Source organism: Homo sapiens, chromosome 10, assembly GCF_000001405.40.
Source record: "Homo sapiens chromosome 10, GRCh38.p14 Primary Assembly".
In the NCBI taxonomy this organism is placed as follows: Eukaryota; Metazoa; Chordata; class Mammalia; order Primates; family Hominidae; genus Homo; species Homo sapiens.
Window position 1 is genome coordinate 26,570,847 of NC_000010.11, and position 10,599 is coordinate 26,581,445.

The 10,599-nt window shown below is 39.1% G+C and overlaps 1 long non-coding RNA gene across 1 annotated transcript, besides 1 other annotated feature; it reads right to left on the reverse strand.

The window, feature by feature from the left end:
- Positions 1-6,839: 6,839 nt before the first annotated feature.
- On the reverse strand, positions 6,840-8,461 carry LINC03028 (long intergenic non-protein coding RNA 3028). Its single transcript, NR_134472.1, has 3 exons — positions 8,348-8,461; positions 7,990-8,127; positions 6,840-7,001 (listed from the first exon to the last, which is right to left on the reverse strand). It is a non-coding gene; the product is annotated as a long intergenic non-protein coding RNA 3028 (long non-coding RNA).
- Positions 8,403-8,903: an enhancer, noted in NCBI's record as "H3K4me1 hESC enhancer chr10:26868178-26868678 (GRCh37/hg19 assembly coordinates)". NCBI's record gives its function as "activates a minimal SCP1, AML or CMV promoter by ChIP-STARR-seq in naive H9 embryonic stem cells {active_cell/tissue: H9 hESC(naive)}" and the evidence as "EXISTENCE:reporter gene assay evidence [ECO:0000049][PMID:30033119]".

The window sequence follows — 10,599 nt, forward strand, 5'->3', positions numbered from 1 at the left end:
TGGATTCTTCTGGGATTTTTGCTTCCTTTCTTGTCTACTTCATGTGATTAGGATTTTCCTCTTATCCTCTTTTTGAGGCTTCTTGTTGAAAACTTATATACTGTATGTATTCTTTTAATAGCTACCTATAATGATAATATCCATACTCAAAGTCTCAAGTTAAACAACTTTAAACTAGAAAATACATGGACTTTGGACCACTTTGATTTCGCACACACACACACAAACACACACAGAGACACACACACATATTTTCTAGTATTTGAGGTACAGCTGAGTATTTTTTTCCTAGAATATCTTTATTTCACCCTCATTCTTCAAAGATGGTTTCAGTGGATGTAAAATTTCAATTGATGGTAAAAACTCTTCGTTTTTTGAGGGGATTGTCCCCACTGTCTTCTCCCTTTCACTGTTGCTGTTGAGAAGTTACCTGTGAAATTATTATTTCCATTAGGTCATCTCTTTGTTTCCCCTCTGCATGATTTTAAGACCCTTTCTTTGTCTTTGGTGCATAGAGTGGGTCTAACTCTGAATTTATTTTATTAAGTTGTCTGATAATTCATTGAGGTTTCTGAATTTACAAATATCTGCCTTTCACTATTCCAGAAAATTGTAATTTATTTTGTTTTCAAACATTGCTTCTCCTTTTTTGCTTCTTCTGAAACTCTAATGAAATGTGTTAAATCGTCTAACACTAGCTTCTTTATCTCTAAATTGTGTGTATTTTCTATTTCTTTATCTATTCTGGATATATTCATCAGATCTTAATTCCCATTCACCAATTCTTTCTTCAGCATAATCTAATCTATGTTAAAGTCATCCATTTTTGGTTTTTGTTTTTTGAAATAGACTTTATTTTTTAGACCAGTATTAGATTCACAGCAAAGCTGAGCAAAATGTACAGGGAGTTCTCATTTGCCACTTGCCTCATACGTGCACAGTCTCCTCCACTACCACAATTCTACAAAAATAGCACTGTAACAATTGATGAACCTACACTGACACATCATTAGCATCCAAAGTCCATAGTTTACTTAGGGTTTACTCTTGAGGTTGCACAATCTGTGGGTTTTCAGAAATGTACAATGACATGTATCCACCATTATAGAATCATGTAGACTAGTTTCACTGTCCTAAAAATCCTGTGTTCTGTCTGTTAATCTCTCCCTCCCCTTTAAACCCTGGCAACCACTGATCTTTTTCATTGTCTCCATAATTATACCTTTTGCAAAATATCATATAGTTGGAATCATACAGTATGTAGTATCTTTTTTGGTGAGGTGTCATTCAGACCTTTTGTCACTTTGTTAACTGGACTGTTCATTTTCTTACTGTTGAGTTTTAATGGTTTGTGTATTTTGGATAACAGTATTTTATCAGATATGTCTTTTGCAAATGTTTTTCCCCATCTGTGGCTTGTCTGTTCATTCTCTTGATTTTGCACTTCACAAGGATTTTTAATTTGAATGAAGTCTAGCTTATCAATTATTTATTTCATGGATGATGTCATTGGTGGTGTTGTATCTAAAAAGTCACTGCCATACCCAAGGTCATCTAGATTTTCTTCTATATTATCTACTAGAAGTTTTATAGTTTACTTAGTTCTCTGATCCATTTTAAGTTAAATTTTTTGAATGATGCAAGATCTGTGTCTAGGTTCTTTGTTTTTGTTTTTCCATATGGATATCCACTTGTGCCAGCACTATCTGTTGAAACGACTATCTTTTCATTATTACCTATGCCCTTTTGTTAAATGTTTGTATAAGCCCATTTTGGGGCTTTCTGTTCTGTTCCACTGATTTATTTGTCTATTCTTTGCCAATACCACACTGTCTTGATTGCTGTAGATTTCCTGTAAATCTTGAAATTGGGTGGTGTTAGTCCCCTGATTTTCTTCTTTTCTAATATTGTGTTGGCTATTCTTGTTTCCTTTTTTTTTTTTTTTTTTTTTGCCTCTCCATATAAACCTTGGGTTCAATTTGTCAATATCCACAAGATAAATTGTTGAGATTTCAATGGGGATTGCATGGAATCTATAGAGCGAGTTGGGGAGAACTGACATTTCACAAATCCTAGGCCTTCATATCTACAAACGTGGACTATCTCTCTATTTATTTAGTTCTTCTTAGATTTCTTAAATCAAAATTTTGTAGGTTTCCTACTAGATCTTTTATATATTTTGTTAGATTTATACCTAAGTATTCCATTTGCAGGGAGGAATGTGAACATAATGGTATATTTTTAACTCAACTTCCAATTGCTCATCGCTGGTGTTAAAAGAGCAATTGCAATTGACTTTTCTACATTAACCCTGTATGCTGCATCCTTGCTATAACTGCTTGTTAGTTCCCAGAGTTTTTTGGTCAGTTGTCCTGGCGGCCCCCTAAGGATTCCTCCTCTAAACCCAGGGTTGAGACTTTGCATTATTTTCCTCTCCATACATATGACTATCAAAGGCAAGATAGGGGAGAGTGCAAGGCAAGAGTTCCCTGCAGTCTTCTCCACTCTACATCCTTTCATATTGTTAAAGTAAATAGGGGAAATTAACAGTTGTGGAGCAGGTTCTCGGATATTTGCTATGAAAACCTACGTATGGTGATTTGGACTTTCAGAGCTATTATATTCTGGCGGTCTTTGATGAAACTTTAATTTTAACCTATTGTTCAATCAGTATCATTTTTTATTGGAAAAACTCATAGGAGAAAAATCAAATAATTATTTCAATAAATATCAAAAAGGCTTTTGATGAAATTCAACACCACTGCTTGTTAACAAAATTTAAAACTTCATAAGAAGCTAGCATCTGAGGAAGATGTTTTTATACTGATGAAAGGTGTCTGAAACCTACAGCAAAGGACATATTTAATAATAAAGCACAAACAGAAATGTCACTTACATTCATACTACCCAGAATTTGTTTTAATCAGTAACGGTAAGACACACAAACACAGAAATGACTGTCATGAGGGAAGTAGTTTATTTTACTACTCACAGTTCCTTAGAAGCTGTGGGCACAGCACACCACAAGGGGGAGGACAGGGAAACATCAAGGTCAGTCAGGAGGCAACGTGAATGGGGGAAAACATGGGAAAGAATCTTTATTGCAGTTCCATGGGAGGGAACAAGCAAGTCAGGGCAATCAGGCTTAGCATTGGCTAGTTTAAATATTTCATTGTCTTCTGGAAAGAAGAGGCTGCTATCTGGCCCTGAGGAAATTAGAGAGGCAGAACAGTGGCCAGAAATGTCAGAGTGATAAGGAAGAATAAAGACTGCAAAAGAGATAAACAGAGATAAAGAAGAATAAAGAGTGAGGAAGAGATGAGAAAGAAGGGGGTATAAACTCTGGGTTGGTTGGATTATATAGGAAAGTCATGCATGCAGGCAAGTTGTTTATTACATCCAGCAATTAGCCTATCCTCAGAGGGGCAGTCCCTCCAGGGTCAACAAGGCCCAGATTTCAAAGCATCAAATTCAGAAAATAAGAGACAAGACTAATACACCATTAAAGTCAGTATTATAATTAATATTATTCAACATTATCCTGGAGTCTCTAGCCAATGCACACAACAGCAAAACCAACAAGGTAACAAATATCTGAATGGAAAAGACAGACTTTTAAATTCTCAGATGATGTATCTACTTAAAATTTAAAAACCAAGTCAAGCAATCCATTAAAAGCTATTAAGTAGAGAAACTAAAAACTGTCCTGTGTACTATATATCAGTGAAGCTCATTTGTAAAATGTAGTATAAAGGGTGATTCAGAAGAGCAACAAGAACTAAAATATTTTTAGAATTGATAGACAATTTCAAAGTCTATAAGGAAAACTGTAAATGTTTATTGCAGATATAAAAGAAAACATCAGGAAAAAAGAGGTGCAGGTCATCACTGCTCCACCTAGTTCCAATAACTACGATTTAATTAAATAACGTGAGTTCCCCAACATGGTTCCAAATTCAGTTGCCATGGTATTTTAACTGTGAGTAATTACGTAAAGTACAAACTTTGTGTGAGCTCTTCAGTCCACAAATCACAACATAAATAACAGATGCAATCATGATCAGTGACCCATCATCTCTTTCAAATTATGAGGTTGCCAATCACTGCATATTTGTTACTGAGTTTATAAAGAGAACAAAGTATGTCGTTGTCTTGCCTCTTTGTCTCCCAGTGAGACGCTCACGTGACATTTTACAAAAATGAACAATCAAAAGAGGGAAGTGGTCAACAAACATGAAACTGCAAACAAAAAAAAAAAAAAAAGAAAAAAGGGATAACACAAAGTGAAATTCAAATGGAACATAAATGTAGTTATAGAAGAAATAGTGGCCATTCACTGAGGCAGATGTTTGCTCGGTATTTCAATTATTTTTGACAAATAAATCAATTCTGAATCTGACTGAAGCTCTATATTTACAGAAATACAGGGGGCACAGACACATGCTGTGTTAGGTTGTTTTTCTGTTGCTATAAAGAAATACCTGAGGCTGGGTCATTTATAAAGAAAAAAGGTTTAATTGGCTCACAGGTCTGCAGGCTTTACAGGAAGCATGGTGCTGGCATCTGCTCACCTTTTGGGGAGGCCTCTGGAGGTTTCCATTCATGGCAGAAGGCAAAGTGGAAGCAGGCTTCTCACATGGAGAGACTGGGACTAGAGAGCAAGCTAGGGAGGTGCCACACACTTTGAAACAACAGATCTCCTGAGAACTCACTCACCATCAGTGGGACAGCACCAAGTTATGAGGGATCTGTCCCCATGACCCAAACACCTCCCGCAAGGCCCCACCTCCAACATTGGGGATTGTATCTCAACATGAGTATATTAGTACATTTTCACACTGTTATAAAGAAACTACCTGAGACTGGGTAATTTATAAAGGAAGTTTTAATTGACTCATGGTTATGCATGGCTGGGGGTCCTCAGGAAACTTACAATCATCACAGAGGGTGAAGGAGAAGCAAGTCACATCTTACATGGCAGCAGGAGATAGAGAGCGAAGAGGAAATGCCAGACACTTATTAAACTACCATATGTCATGAGAACTCTCTCACTATCACAAGAACAGCATGGGGGAACGGCCCCCATGATCCAATCACCTCCCCACAAGTCCCTCCTTCCACACATGGGGGTCATAATTCAAGATGAGATCTGGGTGGGGACATAGAGCCAAACCATATCAATGAGATTTGGAGGGGACATCCAAACTATATCACAGGTTCAGTAAATAATACCACAGAATGCAATCAGAAAAATGCAGAATGTTGAAATACCACAGGATAAATAATCTGGTTTCTTCAATCGAAACTAAAGGAACCAATGGAGTGCAAGTGAAAAAAGATGTAGGGACACATGTAGGTGATATACTCAAAGATATCAAAGGAAGCTTAAGACGTCTTATCATCTAATTTTAATGTATACTCCTTATTCAAATCCCAATTAAAATAACCATAAGAGGCTGGGCACGGTGGCTCACACCTGTAATCCCAGCACTTTGGGAGGTTGCGGAAGGTGGATCACGAGGTCAGGAGTTCAAGACCAGCCTGGCCAAGATGGTGAAACCCGGTCTCTACTAAAAATACAAAAATTAGCCAGGCATGGTGGCAGGCGCCTGTGATCCCAGCTATTTGGGAGGCTGAAGCAGAGAATTACTTGAACCCAGAAGGCAGAAATTGCAGTAAGCCGAAATTGCGCCACTGCACTCCAGCCTGGACAACAGAGTGAGACTCCGTCACAAAAATAAACAAATAAATAAATAAATAAAATAACTATAAGATAATGCTGATGATAATAATTTACAAGACAATAGGAAAATGTTGAAAACTGACTGAATACTTCATTTGATACATTAAGAGTTATTGCTAATTTGCCTCAAGGTCATATGATGTCAAGGACTGTTTGTGTTCTAAGTCATTAGCATTTAGATATGCATATGGAAATATTTGTAGAGGAAATGATACAATGTCTGAATTTCCAAAAAATTGAGGATACGTATATTATACTTCAATTAAGGCAATAAAGAGGAATATGGAGAAAGTGTGTGGAGGTGTAGATGAAGCAAAATTGGCAATGTATTAATTGTTAGTAAGCTGATTAAATGGTAAATTAGGTTCATTAAACTATTAAAATTTTCTCTACCTTAGTAAATGTTTGAAAATTCTATGATAGAGATAAAAAAATCTCTAGGAGCATAATAAAACTAAATATAGCATAATAAAACTAAATACAGCACTGATATACCCCAAAGTGCTGAGTTTACAGTAAATACTAGATCAATATTTAATAATCCATTTTTTTTTAGACAGAGTTTCAATCCTGTTGCCCAGGCTGGAGTGTAATGGCGTGATCATAGCTCACTGCAACCTCTGCCTCCGGGGTTCAAGCAATTCTCCTGCCTCAGCCTCCTAAGTAGCTGGGATTACAGGTGCCCGCCACCACACCGAGCTAATTTTTTTTTTTGTATTTTTAGTAGAGATGGGATTTCACCACGTTGGCCAGGCTGGTCTTGAACTCTTGACCTCAGGTGGTCCACCTCCCTCGTCCTCCCAAAGTGCTGGGATTACAGGCATGAGCCACCAAGCCAGGCTCTAATGATCCATTTTGATTACAATGTCGTAAGATCTTGTAATCATTGAGAATAACTCACGTGCTTTATCAAAAATACCTTATTATTCCATTAAACTTACTGATTAGAACAAAAATCATCATGAAGTTGTTTCAAAGAATATGTTCCAATTTAATCGGCTAAAAATATTTGCATATATAATCATTATTACCAAATGTGGGATTGGCATCAAAATGTGGAGGATCAAAAATAATTTCTTAAACAGATTATTCTATGTTGCGTATAATGATAGAAGACTTCTTTAATTTATTTTTCCCAAATTAAGCAACTAAGTCTGAGATCTTTAGCCCAGGAAGGAGTAGGTGAGGCGTAGCCTGCTTCCTTGGCTGTCGAATGCTTCTGGAAAGGATGCTGAAGAACTTGCTGGAGAAGATGCACCTGGTAAAAAATGTGGGCAGATAAATATACATTATAATTACTCAGGACCCTGATGAATTTCTACATTTCTAAATGGCAAGGTCAACTTTAAATGTTTAAAAATGTTTATACTTTGGGTAGCAGAGGCAGACAGATCACTGGAGGTCAGGAGTTGGAGACCAGCCTGGCCAACATTGTGAAACCTTGTCTCTACTAAAAACATAAAAATTAGCCGGGCATGGCGGCGTCTGCCTGTACTCCCAGCTACCTGGGAGGTTGATGCAGAAGAATGGCTTGAAACTGAATGTGGAGGATGCAGTGAGCTGAGATCACCACACTACACTCCAGCCTGGGCGACAGAGCTAGATTGTCTCAAATCGAACAAACAACAATAAGAGTTTATACATTTTGTTTTATGAAAAATCTCAACTCTAGTTGTTACTTAGAATTGCTATTATTCCACAGAAGTTCCTTAAGTACTATTTTTGTACTAAACTAAGAGAAGGAATATGTACACTGTCATGGAGAGTACAAATATATTCCCGTCATTTTAAGATCCCTTTACAGCATAAAGAGAATTCTAATTTTCTAAAACATTTAGCGAAAAAAAGAATGTCAATGATTTGCAAGCTTTCCAAATGAAGGGCATGAATTCCAGCTCATGCTGCTTCCTCACTGGGAATCTGGCTCTATGATAATAAACTAAGTCATCAACGACACACTTCTTTCAACAATAAAGCAAAGATTGAAATGTTTATTTTCCGTGGTTTTGCTATTTCTTGGGGCTTACGAAAGAAACGCTTAGTCAGAATAGAGAGGGTGGATGACAATACCATGAAATTAAAGGTGAGAGGTGAAGGAGAACATTTTATTGTATCACTAGTATTTTAAATATAAAGATTGCATCTTCATGAATACGGGGCTTTTGGAGCCCATCTTAGCACTTCTCCCCAGGTACGTTCCATGCCTATCATTTTATTGAAGTTGCTTGTATACCTATCAGTCTCACCTAGTAGTTAAATGGCTCCTCTAGTTGGCTCTTACATTTCTCTACTGCATCTTGCCTTGAGTCGATTCTAAAGACATGTTTGATGAAAGAAGGTAAATACCAGTCACATGTGAACAGGGCTGCATCTAGAAAGCTGCTCTATCAACGAAATCATTAGAAAAATATGGTTTACTCAGTGTACAAATTTTAGGAAATTTCTCTATTACACGTGCTAGTTTGAATATGTGTGTTATTTTCAAAAACATAAAATGAATATATAATTTTTGAATACCTGTGTGTATATATATATGATATATATATATATATGTTAACATCACACAGTAGACTTAACTCATGGCAAAGATTTTTTCTGAAGCACCTGCAGAAATCAGTCTTCTTTCCAGTTTCGAAAACCCCAACATGGGCGAAAGAGGATCCTTTGGATGCCAGATAGTGCATGAAGCACATTGGGTTACAGTAATTTTAATATAGTTCATATTCATAATTCACAGTGAGGAAACCTGAAAGTTTCTCGAAGCTATCAATGAATGAAAGGTGGGGCAGGGCCGCTGTGGGGGCGGGGCCTTGTGAGCCAGTGCCTGGACTCCCACATCACAAATGGAAGGGCGGCGCGTGGAGGGAACTCAAGGCCTGATTGGTTCCTCCTAAGCAGGACACGATCTGGCTGGCAGGGCAACTGGCCTTCAGTTAGTGCCTTCAGTGGGTGCCTTCAGTTGGTGGCATTTGGTTGCCTTTCCTGGGGAGAGGTGGCAGGTGCTCAGCTCTGCAGGCGTGGGGGCAAGCGAAGGCCCAAGCTGCTGGAGAAGAACAGAGGTGTCCCATGGGGACCACGCTGGCCTGTCGCATGTGCACCAAAGCCAGCCCCAGGCAGGGCCCGCACAGGGCTTCTGCGGAGCCTTCCTGCGGCTCTGACATCTATGAGTGGGCAGCCAGCAAAGGCGAAGGCCCTAGCACAGAGGAGAAGAGGCGCCCGGAACACGCTGTCCCCCAATGCCAGCCCCAAGCAGGGCCAGCTGAGGGTGCGGTGTTTGGAGCCTTTCTGAGATCCACGAGGTGGCGGTGGGAGTAGCGCCAGACTCCACTGCTTTGGAGCCTGCCCAGTCTGATTCAGGAGCCTTGACTAGCAGCACATTGGCGACCCGAAGACGCCAAAAGGTAGGGAGGCGACAGATACCTCTTGGTCTTAGGAGCTCCTCTGGCCTTGCTCACCCAAGGTACCCCCAGAGGCATCCACAGCCTAGGGCTCCTCCCTCCTGCTCCTAGTTCGCTTTCCTATCCCCTGCCCCAAACAGGAGGACTTGCTCTGACTCGACTCCCCACTCCTTCTTTCCCTGTTGCATCCAGCCGGTTACTTTTCATTGCTCTGCCCAAATACCCACTTCTGGGCCCTCTTCTTTTCCTAGGCTGGCCAAAAACTAAGTTTTCAAAATACAAATTGGATGCCACCGATTTCATTATGGTAGAGGAAATGTCTGACAGCTCTTGTATTTAAGCTTAAGTAGCCGCATTGGGACTCCCAATTTCACATCCCGAGTTCTAGAGCAGAGCTCTCTCCCCTAAAGTAATGGCTGAGGGTTAGAGGTACTCTTCCTCATTCTAATAATAAGAAATGATGTTTTGTAGAGACAGGGTATCATTGTGTTGTCCAGGAAGGTCTCAAACCCTGACCTCAAGTGATTCACCCACATTGGCCTCCCACTTTGTTGGGATGACAGGCAAGAACCACCACACCTGGCCTTGGGAGCTGCTCCTGCTTTGTGTGTTTTGGCTGGTGTTCCTGCGCAGCTGTCAGTAAGATGCTCCTGCCGTATTGTTCCAAATCTTCCCACACAAATTCAGTGGATGCGGTGATGTTTTACACGGAATAGCCCCTTTATTTATTGAAGAGAAGCTGGACAATTCACACTTAGTAACATATGGCCTAGCAAATTTCATTTCTTGATCAACACACCTGTTAAAAGGTGATGCTTGTGGTCTAAATATGCAGATTCCTAATCATCCCCAAGAAAAAGGGAACCACTGCAAGGCAACCTGGGAGGGAGTTTAGGATTGTTCTGAGGCAGTGCAAGCCATTGAAATTCACACATGAGGGGGTAGAAAAGAGAATCCACATGTTTTGACCCCTCCATGTTCTGGGTATAACTTGGTTCTCCTTAACATGCACCATTTTTGGCGACAGAGAAAACTGGATTTAAATCCCAGTTCCATCGCTCTTTATGAAGTGAAGATGAATTTGTTTTTAACTTGTCTGAGCCTCAGTTTGCTAATCTATAAAAGATGTGATTGTTATGAGGCTTCCATAAGGTAAGTGTGTAAAACCCATGGCAAAATGCTTGTAATTTAAAAGAGAGGGTTGTTATCAGGCTTCTATAAGGCAAGTGTGTAAAAATCTGGATACAATGTCTACAATTTTGTAAGTGTTCAATATCTGGAGAATAAGGATTCTCTTTCTCTCATTTAATTTTTAGGGCAAGTTTATAAAATAAGCGCTACTCATATTTTTGAGATAATCAAACCAAGGATTAGAAAGACTAACTAAATCACAATAGTCACAAAGCAGTTCAACATACATTTACTGGGTAATTTCTATTTAAAAGTAGCAATGATTAT